At 36.8% G+C, this 17,647-nt stretch overlaps 1 protein-coding gene and 1 long non-coding RNA gene across 3 annotated transcripts in view; both read right to left on the reverse strand.

The window, feature by feature from the left end:
• LINC01945 (long intergenic non-protein coding RNA 1945) overlaps positions 1–11,856 on the reverse strand; it is a 54,115-nt gene extending 42,259 nt beyond the window's left edge. The window contains exons 1-2 of one of the 2 annotated variants that reach the window (NR_146485.1): positions 11,744–11,856; positions 11,265–11,431 (exon numbers count right to left, since the gene is read on the reverse strand). This is a non-coding gene — a long non-coding RNA (long intergenic non-protein coding RNA 1945). Of the gene's footprint in view, positions 1–11,264; positions 11,448–11,743 lie in introns of both variants that reach the window. The other variant, NR_146484.1, reaches the window with a different exon arrangement.
• Positions 325–15,678, reverse strand: LOC124908048 (extensin-like). The gene is made up of 4 exons (XM_047446884.1): positions 15,540–15,678; positions 11,744–12,912; positions 11,265–11,431; positions 325–3,134 (listed from the first exon to the last, which is right to left on the reverse strand). Exons 1-2 carry the CDS (start codon positions 15,676–15,678, stop codon positions 11,954–11,956), a joined length of 1,098 nt encoding a protein of 365 aa, XP_047302840.1. The 3' UTR covers positions 325–3,134; positions 11,265–11,431; positions 11,744–11,953.
• Between the last annotated feature and the right edge of the window lie 1,969 nt (positions 15,679–17,647).

A 17,647-nucleotide genomic window follows, 5' to 3' on the forward strand; every position in this document is an offset into this window, starting at 1 on the left:
AAATCTTCAATTTACTGTTAAAAACAAAATATTACATAAGATTTTAAAACAGGTCCCATATTCTTTTGAGTCAATTAGAATATGTTTGTATCAGTCTGTCTACAGTTTTACACCTGTCAAAATGTACTTGAACTACAAGTACCTTGAACAATTTTCACATTTATTATTCCTCTGAAAATGATTAAAAGAATTAGAGTGAAATTCTGATTGGCATAATTTGGGAGAGAAATTATTCCTTGGAGATCAACCTCTGCCAAGATAGTTTATAATGACATTGAGACTTTTTGATTTACAAAGTTTGTTATATAAAAAATACTAAGACGATGACAGATAATACACACACTTTAATTAAAATTGTACTAAAATTAAATGTCTAAATAAATTAGAAGGGTACGTGGTACATCTAATTGTATGTTTATATATTTCATTTGTGTATTTTATTCCTAGGGTTGCTTTTGCTTTAGTTTGTAACACGTTCTTATTTTTATGATAATGTAGTATATGCTAAATAAAGAAAAATCAGGAAATAGAAAATGAAGAAGAAAACATTAGCTATTGTCAACCAAATAAAAATTGTGCAATCTCTAAGCACATGAACTATGTATTATTTGTACAGCATGTACAATGTTTATGCTTCACAGGGTGAGGTAGAGACTGCAAAACATTGAACCTGGGACAAATAAGAAAGTAAGGAAATTTTCACAATATATTAATATTATAGAAAATGTTGAACTTAACAGTTAAGATACAAGTAGTGAAAAATGATAGTATTTAAGGAGATCTAGAAAATTTAATCTATATCTGTAATGTGTGAGAAGTATTAGAATAATGCTTGTATTTCTGGATTGGCATCGATTTCTATTGAGACTGGAAACATAATAGAAATGAGGGAAAAAGAACTTAAATTGTGGATACTTGAGTTTTATACCTAGGAGTTTGAGAAATACATTTTGTTACTATCAAAGCAGTTGGCACAAGAGTGTACAAAATTCCCTAATTGTGTCAACGTGGAGAAGACATAGACAAACAGAGAATAGCAAAATAGAAATAGCAAAAAAGCACAAATAAATTTTACCTGTATTTTTACATAAAAGCCAATTAGAGTAGGAAAACATGAAATTTGTGTTTAATCAAAATTTTTCTCTTTCTTATAGTCTAGTGGATTATATTACTGGAAAAAAATTGAAGCATTGGTATGTTCACAAAAAAAAGTAAAATATAAGGTCAAAACCATGGGAATGCAGGGAGCAGACAAAATATACCTAAACACCGAAACTGATTTTGCCCTACGGACATGTACCAAAATGAATGAGTGCAGATTCCTACTGTCATACATCACATAGGACAGTAAAGAAATACATAGTTTTTCCTAAGATAGGGCATCACACAGGAGCTCCTCCCTAAAGCTAGGACCAAAGTTTCTATCCTCAGTATAAAGAAGAATCAGAGGTAAATTAGTCCCATTTCACATTCCCTGGAAATGGCAAATAAAAATGATTGAGATTGGACAGATTTAAAGAAATTCAATCATTAATGATTTACAGCAATTAATTTAAAAATTGTTTAAATGTGCAGTCCAAACATATGTCCAAACACCTTTAGGCCAAGAATTAATATAATGTGGTCCCAGAATGGTGGTGCGTTTAGTAGACTCACAAAAAAATTCAAATTCTCTTTGGCAAATTTTCTTCTTACTAATCCGCAAAAGTGCACAAAAATAATTTTCAGAGAAAAATAAATATTTGTCATTCAGAGGCATCTAAGTACACAAGGAAATGGTATACCACCGTTTGAAAGGAAAGCAGAAAAAGAGTACAAACAGATCCACAAAGGTTCATTAGTAGAAATATCACTGTTAGATTATAAAGCACATTTGCTTTAAAAAATTTTTTTTAAAAAAGAATATATTTTAGGAGACTAAAAAATTGATGTAGAAAATTTGTAAAGTAGCTTGTATAAAAATATAGTATTTTAAATTAAAAACTCAAAAATGAACTCATCAGATTAGACATGGCCATGGTGAGAGTTAATAAATATTTCACAATGCATCACAGAAAATTTAAAAAAATGCAAAATGTGGACAGAATCATGAAGAGACAAGGAAGATACCGTGAGAAAGTGTAGCATGTGTTTAGTGAGTGTTCTCATAGAAGAAGGGAACTGGGAAGGGACAATATGTGATGGTATTTTGGCTGAAAGTTCTCTAGACTTTTGTAAGACACTAATCCGCATATTGAAAAATTCCATGCATGCTAAGCAAGCTACAATGGAGATAAACCTACACCTACGTATCTCCTAGAGAAATAGCAAAGAATCAGGAAGGGAAAAATATTTCAATTAGCACTAGAAAAATCAAATTACCTTTAATCATATTGAAATCGGAAAGAATGAAAGGTAAAATAAAAAATATTATTTGTTAATAATAATAATGCCATTCTGAAATTCTCAACCAAGAAAAATATTCATCAACCTATGGCTAAATAACATATTTAGAGAGAAAAAACAAAGCACCACCAGCAGAATTCCACTAAAGAAACTAAAAAGAAACTCTGAAAACATGCTTCAGAAAGGTTGAAGTTCTGAAATCAAAGAATGAATACAGAGCAAAATAAACATACAGGTAGATCTAAATAAAAAATTAGGTGTTGAAACAAAAAGATATTTAAAATTAGATAAGCACTGCAATATGTATGTTAGGAAGCAAATTATTAGGGCTGAAGTATTCAATGACCCCTTAATTGTCTGACAAGAGCAGAAAGGTGAGTATGACTTTGCAACTTTTTTTTTTTTTTTTTTTTTTTTGAGGAGGAGTCTCACTCTTTCACCCAGGCTGGAATGCGGTGGTGCCATCTCCGCTCACTGCAACCTCTGCCTCCCAGGTTCCAGCAATTCTCCTGCCTCGGCCTCCTGAGTAGCGGGGATTACAGCCGCGTGCCACCATGCCTGGCTAATTTTCGTATTTTTAGTAGAGACGGGGTTTCACCATGTTGGTCAGGCTAGTTTCCAACTCCTGACCTCGTGATCCACACGCCTCGGCCTGCCGAAGTATTGAGATTACAGGCGTGAGCCACTGCGCGCGACCGATTTTGGAACTTTAATAAATTCAGTGGACATTATGCATTTCTCTGTTGTATCTATGAAAACAATAAAAATAAAAGTCATAATTTAAAAACAAGAAGACAGAAACTGATAGGAGAAAATGACACATTATATACATATATATATACAACAAATTAATAAAACAAATTACGTATAAATGATCAAAGATTAACTTAAACCTAAGTAGACAATGTTTTTGTTAAAATACAAAGATTGGCAAAATTAAAAAAATCCGTCTCTATCATAGTTACAAGACAGGCAACTAATATATAAATTTACAGAAACTTTGAAGTTCAAACAATACAGATACTGTGTATATATGATATACATACAAACATACTACATGAATATAATTTTTTAAAAAGTTGCTATGTAGACAAAATAGAATGTAAGTTAGAAACATTTATTAAAATAAGTTAGTCTAACCAGTGTGATAAAAGTTTTAAGTTATTAAGAAGATGTGATGACTTAAATGTGCATTAGCCTGATACATATATACATATATACACACACACCACACACACACACACACACACACACGTATTTAGATAGTCAAATTATATAAAGCAAAAATATCAGAAAGTAAGTAGAAATGGATAAGCCCCCAAATCATTAGACATTTCAAACACACATCTTTCAGTAATAGATAAAAGAAAAAATTAAAAGAGTAAGTTTTAAAAGAAGCTAGTGGATTTTAAAAAGGGCAAATGTTATATAAGGAACATGAATATTATAATTCATGTTATTTTCATGTTCATACAGAATACTTACAAAAATTAACATTTTCTAGACCATACCACAAATTCAAACAATTTTCACGGAAATAACGTGACACAGAATATATTTCCTAAACAAACAGCAATGAAGGTAGATATCAATACAAAAAAGAAAGCTAGAAACATAAGTCTAATAATATTGGTTGGAAGCTGTTTTAATTAATATTGAAATATTTTAAAGGTGAATAGTCAACACAAATGAACCAAACACTTTTGTAAGGCCACTAAGATGCATGTGTAATGTGTAATGCCTCCTTTTATAAGGAGTAAATCTGTAACATCACCTGGGCTATTTGACAACTGCAAAGTGAATGTGAGAAGGAGAGAAACAGTGAGAGAGAGAGAGAGATAAAACCAGTAAAATAAACATAAAGAATGAAGGAGATAGCCGGGCGCCATGGCTCATGCCTGTAATCCCAGCACTTTGGGAGGCCAAGGCAGGTGGATCACCTGAGGTCAGGAGTTCGAGACCAGCCTGGTCCAACATGGTGAAACCCACTCTCTACTAAATATACAAAAATTAGCCTGGCATGGTGGCATGCACCTGTAATCCCAGCTACTCAGAGGCTGAGGTGGGAGAATTGTTTGAACGTGGGGGGTGGAGGTTGCAGTGAGTAGAGATCACGCGACTGCACTCCAGCTTGGGCGACAGAGCAAGAGTCCGTGTCAAAAAAAAAAAAAAAAAAAAAAGGAGGAAATAGTACATGAAAAAGCAGAATTAAAGCAACTGAGTATATATTTAAAAATGCAACAGCTCACTTTTTCAGAAAAATATTAAAATATTAAATCTAACAAATATCTAGGTAGACTGATGGAGAAAAATACAGAAAATGCACAAAAAACCAATTACCTGGAATTCAAAGGTTACAAAACGTAAGCAGTTGTAGGTTTTAAATAAGCAATGACTTTGAGTTCAACCATGATGGGGTATATTGAAAAGAATCTCTCAGAAAAAAAGAAAAACTGTTATAAAGCTATGTAGAAAATGTTAAGCACTATTAAAGTCTTCCAATTCTACCAGTTATGGAGTTATTGGTCTTGGACTAACTCTCCTGAAAAGAAAAAAAACAAAACAAAACCTAAAAACCTGGATAAAATGGCCTACCGTGGGCACTGGCAATGCAACCAAGCAGGTAGGACATGGGTGCTACTTTCTCTTTGTCAGAACACAAAGCATTCATACACTCTTCTCACCCTCACTCTCACCTTTTAATCTTAGATCTACTATTAAATGTATTCAACTACTATCAATCCTTTGGTCAAAATTTCTTTTCTCACATTTTGCTTGATGCACTTGGATAGACTGTTCAAGAAAGTGTGAGTACTGAATTCCTCAAACTCTTGCATATTTAAAATTACATTTTTGAACCTTGATGCTTGAAGTGTAGCTTGGGTAACAGGTGGGCTTTAAGCCGATTTTGGCATGCAAGGGGTTGAGTTTATTAGGCATCAGCACCTCTGAAAATCGTGGGGATGCAGGCTTAATTTCAACACTATTCTAAATACTTGAAAGATATATAATTCCTTAATAAACTCCTTTGTCTACAAATGGTTCACATTAACTCAATATCCATGATTAAACATCTATAAAATCAAGGCACTGTTATTTAGTGGAGACTTGCTGGCTATTCTATGAGAGGAGGTATTGTTATTTTAATCTCATCCTCTCATAAAAGTGTATCATATTACTCATAACCAGCCCTTCATATTCTATTCCTATTTTGGTATTTTAAAATAAGATATCTTTGAAACTCTTGAATTCAAATAGAGAATCTGAATAGTTTTTAAAATGTCAATGAAATGCCATTTCTTCATGCTTCAACAACTAAAATTTGACTAAAGTGCTTCTCTTCAAACTTTCTGTAACATTTTTTAATCTAAATTCTAAGAACGATCACAATAGGTTTCAACCACAAATGTGAGAATATTGTAAATGTTCGGGTGGAAAAATTTTTAAAATAATTTTGTAGTAATTTTTGAATCATAGTGACAGTGCGCTAAATTTTTTTAAGTCAAATATTACTGTAGACATTTAAGTCAAGATTCTAAGAAACTGTTCTAAAGTCCAAAATTTAGTTTCATATACAATGATATTATATATATATTTGCATATAAAATTAATATATGTGAGCCATGTTTCAAATAGTTGAGAGATTATATCAAAGATTCTTGATTATATAAAATGCCAATTACTTATAGGCACACGTGCTTTAAATAATTACAAAGGCAGCTGTGGTTGATTCTACTCTTGCTACTGGCATTTATATGGACATACTATTATGGTCTGAAGAATATTTAGGCAAATTTATCCCTCATACGATCAGAAGAACAATGCACGATAGTTTATATCTGAAAGGAAAAAAAATCTTTATATGGTTCTGAAAGCCTAAATCATTAACAACTTGGATAATAATTAGCATAAAAATACACAAACATGCCCTCTTCCTAGCGGTAAGTACAGAGTGACAACAGAATCAAAGCATGTGGCTATGTGCATGTTTATATTTCAAGACGCAGAGCACTCTATTCCTCTTCTCTGCCCTTTCTAGATGGCACAATTCCTCATGAATCTAAGTGCTGTCATAGGGTGGATTAGGGTGACCTGCCATTTGTATGCAACCGATCTCTATTTTGGAAGTAATTAATGTAAAAATATATTTTTAAAAGATAATTTCAAATTTCAGGGCAAACTAGCATGGTTTCACCCCTTTCCTTTGTAACATTTTTCCTAAGGTTGGAAAAGTAAGGTAGGCTTTAGTACGATTTTTAATAACAAGTTTTCAAAGTGAGACGCAAAATGGTGGCGCCAACACATTTCAAGTCTGCTACATTTTGAATACACTTATTGGAGAAAAGACCTTCTCATCATTTTTCTCTTACAGGAAAGGAAATAACATGTACAGTTGACCCTTAAGCAACACCGAGGTTGGGGTGCTGGCCCCCCTGCACAGTAGAAAATCCACTAAAACTTTGACTCCTCCAAAACTTAACTACTAATAGCCTACTGTAAGCCTTACAAATAACACAAGCAGTCAATTAACACATATTTAATGTTATATGTCTTATATACTGTATTCTTAACAAACACGCCAGAGAAAAGAAAAAGAAAATCATAAGGAAAATATATTTACTAGTTATTAAATGGAAGTAGATGATCAAACAGGTCTTCATCCTCATCCTTTTCATGGGCAGGGTGTGGAAAAGGATGTAGAATTTTTGGTTTTGCTAAGTGGACCCGCACAATTCAAACCCCTGTGGTGCAAAGGCCAACTGTATAGCCACTGAATAGCAATTTATTTCTAGAAATTAACCTCACTAAAATATTCTTAGAAAGATGCCAAGAAAAAAATGAATAAGTATTTTTGGTACATCTATTTCATCATTTCATTTCCTCATTTCATCATTTCATTTCATCATTTCATTTCATCATTTCATCATTTCATCATTTCATTTCATCATTTCATCTCAACATTTCATTTCATCATTTCACTTCATCTCATCATTTCATCATTTCATTTCATGATTTCATCTCATTTCATCACTTCATTTCTTCATTTCATTTCATCTGAACATTTCATTTCATCATTTCACTTCATCTCATCTTTTCATCATTTCATCTCATTTCATCTCATCATTTCATCTCATCTCATTTCATCTTTTCATCTCGTCATTTCATTTCGTCATTTCATCTTTTCATCCCATTTCATCATTTCATCAATTCAACATTTCAATTATTTCATCATTTCATCATTTGACTTCATCATTTCATAACATTTCATTTCATAATTTCATCTTTTCTTTTCATCATTTCACTTTGTCATTTCATTTTGTCATTTCATTTCCTCATTTATCATTTAATTTCATCCTTTCATCATTTTATCTCATTTCATCCTTTCATTTCATTATTTCATCATTTCATCTCATCATTGCATTTTGTCATTTCATTTCATTTCAACATTTCACTTCATCTTATCATTTCATCTCATGATTTCATTTCATCTCATCATTTCATTTCGTCTTTTCATCTCATTTCATCATTTCATCTTTTCATCTCATTTCATTTGATCATTTCATCAATTCATCATTTCATCGTTTCATTATTTCATCATTTAATCATTTCACTTCATTTCATCATTTCATCATTTCATATCATTTCTTCATTTCATCATTTGATCTTTTCATTTCATTTCACCATTTCATGATTTCATTTCATTTCACTTCATCATTTCATTTCATTTCACCATTTCATCATTCCATCATTTCATTTCACCATTTCATTTCATCATTTCATTTCATCCTTTCATTATTTCATTGCATCATTTCATCTCATAATTTCATTATTTCACTTCATCTCATCATTTCATCATTTCATCTCACGATTTCATTTCATCTCATCATTTCATCACATTTCATCTCATCAATTCATCTTTTCATCTCATTTCATTATTTCATCCTTTCATCTCATCATTCATCATTTCATTTTATCAATTCATCATTTCATTTCATATTTCATCATTTCATTTCATTTCATCATTTCATCATTTCACTTCATCATTTCATTCCATCATTTCACATTTCTTCATTTCATATCATTTCATCATTTCACTTCATCATTTCATTTCCTCATTTCATTTCACCATTTCATCAATTCATTTAATCATTTCATCTCATTTCATTTCATCATTTCACTTCATCTCTTCATTTCATCTCATGATTTCATCTCATCATTTCATCTTTTCATCTCATTTCATTTAATCATTTCGTTTCATTTCACCATTTCATCTCGTCATTTCATTTCATTTCATCAATTCATCATTTCATTTCATTATTTCATCATTACACTTCATCATTTCATTTCATCATTGCATATCATTTCTTCATTTCATCATTTCATCTTTTCATTTCACCATTTCACTTCATCATTTCATTTCCTCATTTCATTTCACCATTTCATTTCACCATTTCAGTTCATCATTTCATTTCATCACTCCATTTCATCATTTCATCATTTTCTTTCATCTCATTTCATCATTTCTTCATTTCATCATTTTATTTCATCATTTCATTTAATTTCAGTGATACATGTATTCAAGTGCTAATGTGATGCCCAGGAGACACCCTATTTCCCTTTGTAAAACACCTCCTTCAACAAAAGGCAACCTCTCATGGCTGGCTAAGTCTACAGGGATACCAGCCTCTCTTCAACCACCCAATTTGATTTAGAACCTCAAACAGCACCTCAGTTTCATAAAAACCTAAAACATAAAACACAACACTTGGTTGTAAGTGAGCCAACAGTTTGTCTCTTTCTCTGCCCAAGGCTTAAGGCCGTGTTTCCCCAACTACGTTCAGTGGAAGAAAAGATCCCCTGGACAAATAAGTTTGAGAACTGTTGTTGCAGGACTTCTCAGAACCTTTAAAACACAAATCCTCATCCGGAGGGATCTTCAGGAGGGAGATGTCTGATGCAGCACAACTTTCTTTCACAGGAGCATCCTGCAGAATACAGTATGAGATGCAGAAAGGCTGCAATGAGTCTTTTTAATGGCCCGGGCCTTGGTGGGGGTGGGGTAGGAGCTCTCCAGATAGCATCTAATGAGTAGGAACATTCAGGTTGCTTTTTTTTTTCCTTATTGGCAAACCTGTGTGCACACCATGAATGAAGCTGATCTCCCTTATCCATATCAAAACTAAACCCAAATTAATTGGCTAAATTGGGAATCAACACCTCCAGGAGCTACGCAGAAGAAAGCCCCACCACACTTTAAAGTAGCTTACCTCATATTTGACGAAAGCAAAACACTTATGACCAGTGTGCTGCTAATACAAGTCTACAGATAACGCTGCATGAAAAATTAGTTTTCCCAATCGTAGCTGGCATAGTCCACATTTTGCATTACACTTTCCCCCCTTGTTTTAAATTTTAAACACAGGTCTTTTTCTCTTCTTTTTTTAAATTTTAATTTAATTATACAAGACAGAGTCTCAGTATGTTGCCCAGGCTGGTCTTGCACTCCTGAGCTCAAGCGATACATCCGTCTCCGCCTCCCAAAGTGCTGAGATTACAGGCCTAAGACACTGTGCCCGGCCTTAAACACAAATCTTAATTCATTCTTACAGTTATCCTGAGGTTAGAAAAATGGAAGGGGAAGAAAAATGGCAAGCAGGTAGGTTGACTTCGGCTTCATTATTTGAAAGGACAGTTTGCTCAGTTAAAACACACTACTGCCCACAAAGGCCAAGACAACAGAAAAATACAGACATATAAATAGATTTTATATGTGACAGCAGTTTCAATGGAGACTTTTTCAATGCAAATGACAAACAGCTGTGCTTGGGAATAAATGACAAGGAATTTTTTTTATCTCAACAGCTGTCCTGAGAGCACATCTCTACATCTCTACCTATATTCTGGAATCAGGGAGAAAGCCAAAACGGATGACAAGATACTAGATCAGCCGTGTCCAACCCTTTTAGTACAAGGACTTTTCCGCCTATCTGTGGTGGTGGGTATCATGAAAATTATGCACAAACCTTTTTTTTTTTTTTTTAAGCTCATCAGCTGTCGTTAGCATTAGTGTATTTTATGTGTGGCCCAGGAGCATTCTTCTTCCAATATGACCCCGAGAAGCCAAAAGACTGGACACCTGTGCACTAGATCAAAAGGCTACTCCTTCTGGAAGCAATTATAAAGAATTTCTGACATTATCTTGACATGAAAACCAATGGATAGTGGGACAGAATGCAAAATCTTCAAGAATTTTTCTTGTTGGTTTTTTTTTTTTTTTTTTTTTGAGTCAAGGTCTTTCTCTGTGGCCCAGGCTGGAGTACACTGGTGAGATCACAGCTCAGTGCAGACTCAAGTGCTCCTCCCACCTCAGCCACAGTAGTAGCTGGGACTACAGATGCGCACAACCACCCCTGGCTAATATTTTATTTTTTGTAGAGATGGGGTCTCACTATATAGTCCAGGTTGGTCTCAAACTCCTTGACTCAAGGGATCCAGGACAGGATAACAGGTGTGAGGAGCCACCACACCTGGCCATGTGCATGAACTTTTAAGACAAACACAAGGCCCCACAAAAGTTAAGGTTTTCCCACCTAATTTCCAGGGGATCTTTTGGTGCAAAGCTGAGAAGCCCTTAAAAGTACACAGACAACTCCAAAGATTCAAGAGAGTTCATTCGGGGTGAGCCAGCCCACTGGGCAGACTGACCTTCAAAAAAGGCCCACCCATGACACACACCAGATGGCTCTCCAAGAATCTCTTCAGTCCTCAGGGTCCCTAAGGCACTGGACAGAGCTAGGAAAGCAAACCCATTTGCTTCTCCCTGCAGGAAACCCCTTGAGGTCAAGACCCCACAATCAGACAAGGATGGAGTGGCTCACCTTCAGTCAACAGGCCAGACTCAAGGTGGTATAATGTCTTAACCAAGGGTGCAGTCCTCCAGGTCTGACTCCCAACTCAGTTCTCCTTTAATAACCACACTTTGTTAATTCTCCTTAACAGGAGTTCCTGACAAGTCAGTTCTCCCTCAGACCTTCAGTGGCCTCACCTAGAAGATGAGAGGGCTGGATCAGATGGAAATTCGGGGAGTAAGGGAATGTCGGCACGCAGCCCACCTCCCCCAAGGGACCCTGGAGCCTCCATCCCAGTTCCCACCATGCACCCGCCCCACAAATCCTGCCCAAGGTGAGGGCTGGTCCCGGGTCCTCCGGGTGCCGCAACAGCGAGGGAAGGAGGGAGGGGAAGCCTCCAAGGGCGCGACGCAGGCTCAAGGATGCAACTCGGCCAGGAGTGAACTGGGGACCCGAGGGAGGTATCCGGGCTGCTCCTCGAGCCCAGCCCGGGTCCCCGAACCCCTTACCTCCAGGGTCCGTATCTCCTGCTGGGTGAGGCCGTTGGACACAGCGCACTTGGTGCGCAGCCCGTGCAGGCTGCCGATGGAGATGCCGATGAGCTTCTGTAGCTGCCCGCACTGCTGCAGCGTCCGGCTGGCCGCGGCCCCTGCGCCACCCCATCACCCCCGCCCCCGCCCTCCTTCTTCTCTCCCATAGCCTCCCCGCGCAGCGCCGCTCTATGCAGGCCACAGTGGCCAAGGCGGGGAGCCCGGGGCGCGGGCGCCTAGGCAAGGAACCCCGGAGACGGGAGAGCTGGACCAGGAGCGCCCCTCGGCGGTGCCCTTACCAGGACGCCAGTAGAGCTGGCAGCCGAGTCTGCCGCTCCCGCCCTCAGAACCGCGGCGGCGGGGACAAAAAGCCGCGGCGGCGGGGGCAAAAAGGCACGGTGGCTGGGGCAAAAAGCTGCAAAAAGCACGGCTGCGGGGGCAAAAAGCAGCAAAAAGCCGCGGCGGCGGGGGGAAAAAGCCGCGGGGGCAAAAAGCAGCGGGAGCGGGGGCAAAAAACCACAGAAAGCCGAGGCGGCGAGGGGAAAGAGCCGCGGCGGCAGGGGGCAAAAAGCTGCAAAAAGCAGCGGCGGCAAAAAGCCGCGGCGGCGGGGGCAAAAAAACCGCGGCGGCGGGAGGCAAAAAGCCGCGGCGGCGGCGGGGGCAAAAAGCTGCAAAAAGCCGCGGCGGCGGGGACAAAAAGCTAGGGCGGCAAAAAGCCGCGCTAACGGGGGTAAAAAGCCGCGGCGACAAAAAGCCGCTGAGAGGGGGCAAAAAGCAGCGGGAGCGGGGGCAAAACACAAAAAGCCACGGCGGCGGGGGCAAAAAGCTGCAAAAAGCCGCGGCGGCGGGGGCAAAGAGCCTCGGCGGCAAAAACCAGCGGCGGCGGCGGGCGCGAAAAGGCGCAAAAAGCCGCGGCGGCGGGGGCGAAAAGCCGCAAAAAGCAGCGGCGGCGGAGGCAAAAAGCCGCGGCGGCCGGGGCGGAAAGCCGCAAAAAGCCGCGGCGGGGCAGGGGCAAAATAGGAGAAATGAGGTAGGAGGCCAGCACAACTTGGCATTGCTGGAGTGTGATGTGATAGGAAAAGTGCAGCCAAAGACAAAGAAAGATGTAAGTTGGCTTGACTCAGTGCAGCTAAGAACCCAGATGTTATCTTGAGGGTATTAACTAATAAGCAGTTTAAATCAGAATGGCACATTCTGATTTGTTTTTTATATTCACATTTGGCAGGCATAGATACTGTTTGAAGAGAGTAAAGTCAGTAGATAGAGGTAACAAACTTAAATATGTGCCAAGTCTAGAAACAAGAGACTAGGGGGATAAGGACCTTTCAAAAGAAAATGCAAGATTTGAAAACTGATTGGCTGGGGGATGAGGAAAAGGCACGTCTTTAAGGTCAATCCCTGTTTTGCTTTAAGTTGTTAGGGGGTGGTTTTATCACATATTGTAGAATATGTCATTTCAGTTTTGAACATCTTGAGTTAAATTGTCCTAACATATTTTATGAATTTGATTTTCTTCCCTGGGAAGCTAGTATTTCAAAAACTTAAAGAGTATAGATTTCCAACTTGTATCCAATTTATAAAACTATCTCTAGGCTGCTGGTTTCAGGAGGAGGCTCATGAATATTCTATTTGCAGAGAATATATCAGGAGTTAACAACAGCGTCAGTATTTGTGGACGACCAGTTAACTAAGCCACCTCTTAGTGTATTTAGATAGGAAATCTTAGCTGAAGATATTCAATAATGAACCAACAGTGACTAAAAAATTCAATATTTAAGTATATTTCATTGCAATTAATTTGAATTTAAGTAGCCATATACAGCTAGTATTTACTACATTGAAAAATGCAAACAAGAGGAAAAAATTAATAACCATCCCTAATACCACATGCCAAAATCCTCATCAATTTATTCTAGCTAAAGGAGTTGATCAGAAGCACCAATTTAAAGCACCAATCACTGTCGTTCTCTCAGAACCATCTCTTCTCTGAACAAAACAAGTAGAAGAGTTAATAGTGAATCTGCATTTTCCTTGCCTATTTTAAGGTTTTGATGTTGACACTAATTTGTGAAATCCCTCCTGTGGTGTGATATTTCGTTTTCCTTGCTTTTTGTTAGGACAAGAATGCTTCAGCTCTTAATTTAAAATTATGTTTCTCCCTCCCAGGTGGAGTGAACTTAGCATGCATTCTCTGACATATCCAAGTTTTTGTTAATATGAATTTGGGGGGAAAAGCATACTTAATTAGCTAAGACTTCTTATTCTAGGCTTGACCCTGTGTTCGACATCTTTTTAATTTGTAGTTGCATAGGCTGCTCTCTGACACTGGTTAGTGATCTGGAAGCTATATTAACGTTAGGAGAGGTGGTGTATGAGCACTAGAGGTATCCTTGCAAGGGAAGACTTGTCTTATGTCAATACGTCTTTTTTTTGCACACAAGAAAGTCAATGTTTGAGTCTTCTAAAATCTTCCTATTTCCAAGTTGCAGAGTACAATTGATTCCTAAACAACGATCTAATTTTTGACTCAGAGACGTGGCAAGGTAGTGAATCACCATTATAATTTAACAATCTTCAAGATAAAATTATTTCTCTGATATTTAGATTTTGCCCAATTATTAAGATATTTGGGTGTTTCGTTAAGAATGGAAGACTCTAGTCTCTTGAGCAGAGACTATAAAGGCCTCAGATGATCATTTATAATTTTATGCTCTTTTCTTTAACACCTTCAACACAGTTGGAAGCAGCCAATATTCCCCAGTGTTGTTGTGTTTTTTAAACCAAATGCATGGTTCAGTGGTAGAAAACTGGGCTGATCCAAGCTGTTTTCAGTAAACACTTCATTTCAGGTGACCTATTTCATATTAAATAATCTCTAGATCCTGTCTTCAAAACTAACTAGATCAGATAACCTACCCTAGATTTTCCCCTTTAGGGTCTGTTAGCTGCAGTCACTTTTGTGAAAATGATTGCGATGAAAAGATAGAGTTGTAGATGGGGAAAATGTTTTGACTAATTTAAGCATAGTGGTATTTAATATGAGAATTTAAGTTACACACATTTGAAAATTATAATGGAGTCTCTTGGCTGAGCTTTAAAAAAAATAGCGTTTAGGCTAAAAAGGGAACTGCTACCTCTCCTAAAATCAGAAAGATGTTACAGTAATTCTCCATTCTCTAGAATTATCAGGAAGCACCTTTGTGATGATTTACTTTTGCTCTTGGGAGTGTGAGCCTGTGTAGTCGTGGAACCGTCAATTAGAGTGATGGCTTTCTGATCCCAAAGTCATTCGTTCTGAAAACAATATTTTTCATAAATTTGAATGTGAGAAGTTTTGATCTTGCCATTCCCAAGTAACTCTCTTAATAAGAGGCATCAGCATGCTTCAGTGACAGCTGTCACCTTCCAGTGCTGAGAGTCATCTTTGAGTTCTCCATTTCACTCCCTACACTCCAATTTAGCTGCAGTTCTCTTGGCCAGTCCTATGAAATACATCCATGGCCTAACGACTTCTCACCACTAATACCACTCATACTTACAGCATTCTCACCTAAGTCACTACCTTTTTTCTCTGGATTACAATAGCCTCCCAATTTATTTGCTCACATAACCTATTTATTCTACACAGTGCACCAGATACACCCCTTTGAAATGCAAACGGAATCATATTATTCTCTGGTGAAATTATCTCATATATTCCTATCGCATTTAAAATTAATTCAGAATAATCCCATGATTATCAAAACCCTATGTGCTCTTCCACAACATGATTTACTTCCAAGATATCTCTTCTTCAACTTTTTTTTCACTGTACTGAATTGGTGACTAAAAGTCATATTTTTGTTTTTGCTTAAAAAGTCTTGACTTGTAAATTTTTCAGTTTCTCCTTTATCCACAGGTAACTCTTTCCTCATAAGGCGAATTGCTTGCTTCCTTGAGTTCTGCTCTCAAAGATACCCTTCATGTTCTACCTAATATTAATAACTTTAATCATTCATTATTCCATTACTATGCTCTATAGTGTATACAATTTCTGTTCTTTGTCCTGTTATTAACTAAATTATTTATTTGTTCCAGTAACGTATTCCATAAATATTGTACACATAAAAATTATGTTATTTTTATTGCTGTATGCTCAGCTGCCCAATAACAGTTTGAGGATTAACATATTTGTTAAATGCACAAATACATTCTTTCACAAATATTTAATAATTTTATATTAAACTCCCTATATACTTACAGTATGAATTAGATAATTCAGAATAAACATTCCATTGGAAAAAACTAAACAATTTGTTATAAAACATCCTTAAAAGCATCAGAAGGTTAATACAGACATGAAGAATTACAGGACCAAATTAAGAACGGTATGGAAGCCTGTTTGTGAGGCTTATGTTTGGGTTATCTCTTTACTTAGAGTGACTATAAATCTCAAAAGAGAACTAAAGGGAGAAATAACCATATCTACTAACATGGTAAGGGTATTTAAACATCTCTTAGTAATTGAGAAAATTGAAAGAAAAGAAAAAAGAAAGGGAGAAAGAGAAACAGAGCAAAAGGGATAATGAAGGAGAGAAAGAAGAAGAGAAAGGAAGAGGAAGAAAAGTAAAAAGGAGGAGGAGGGGGAGGGAGGAAGAAAGAAAGGTGAAAGGAAAGAAAGGTAAAGTTTTTAACAGCATAATTTATCCTTGTAGAATATGAATGTTGGTCTATTTGATGATGTCCCACAGATTCCTTAGTCTCTGCTCATTTTTTATCTGTTTCTCAGAATCAATATTTTCCATTTTCTTATCTTCAAGCTCATGACTTTTTCTGTGTGTGCAAATATACTCTTAAATCCCTCTGGTGATTTTTAAATTTTTATCATTGTAGTTTTCCACTCCAGAATTTCTGTTATCTCTTTGTTGATATTCCTACTTTTTAATATTTTTTTCTGATTCCTTCATTTCTTTGTTTATGTTTTCCTTTTGACATTTGACATTTGAGTATAATTAAGAGAGTTGTTTTAAAGTCTTTGTCTAGTAAGTTTGATGTCTGGGTTTCCTTAGAGATATTTTCTGTCAATTTATTTTGTCCCTTTGAATGACCCATACTTTCCCGTTCTTTGTATGCCTTGTAACTTTTTTTGAAAACTGGACATTATAATAATTATAATTACTATGTGGTTACTCTGTAAATCAGACCCCCCCCTACAAACATACTAACGTTCTGTGGTTTTAAATTTTATTTACTTATTATATTGTTAAGGATTTTTTTTTAGTGAAATTTTCCAAAGTGATTAACAAAACTGTTTGCTTTATAAGGTGTGGTCACCCAAGTCTTTTTGTTTCCTTAACAAATGTTAAGATAATGTTTTGACTGATTTTCTTGTATGTCAGGAACTAAGCAAACAGGCAAATACAACAAAAACAAAAAGAAAAACAAGTAATCATTATCCAGCAAAATAGGTCTCTAGGCCATGCAGACTGGCTTTGTGCTGGGTTCTTTAAAGCCGGGACAAAGTGTGTGTTCACTCTTGCACTGAGTGAAGTTCAAGTTCACTCTTGCACAGAGCCTGCACTGAGGGGAGGGATCAGCGAAGGTAAAAGTGTAGGGTCTTCTTATGACATTTGTCAGCATGTGGCTTAACGTATGCATACATGTGACTTTCTAGACTCTCCCATGTACGTGAATGATTTTGAATGTCTTAGTTTTCCATATACTCTACTCCAACTTTTCTTCCTGTGCTGAAGGTGATCTACTATATGTGTAAACTCTAATTTTTGCCCTAAGCATCTGTGGCTTGTTAGGTCTCCTTGTAGAGTTTCTTAATAATGTCCATTCCTTATCTGTTCTGTATCCTAGCAACACACACAAAAAAGCCTTTCATTAGTCCTTTAGGTA

Source organism: Homo sapiens, chromosome 2 (assembly GCF_000001405.40).
Source record: "Homo sapiens chromosome 2, GRCh38.p14 Primary Assembly".
NCBI lineage: Eukaryota > Metazoa > Chordata > Mammalia > Primates > Hominidae > Homo > Homo sapiens.

Excerpts from the sequence above, each read along its gene's own strand:
- LOC124908048 (XM_047446884.1), bottom strand. The coding sequence starts at position 15,678 with ATGAGGAAAGAGTTACCTGTGGATAAAGGAGAAACTGAAAAATTTACA. Across the intron at positions 12,913-15,539 it reads GAAGAAGAGATATCTTGGAA|ATAACATCTGGGTTCTTAGC; the intron begins GTAAATCATGTT and ends AATACCCTCAAG.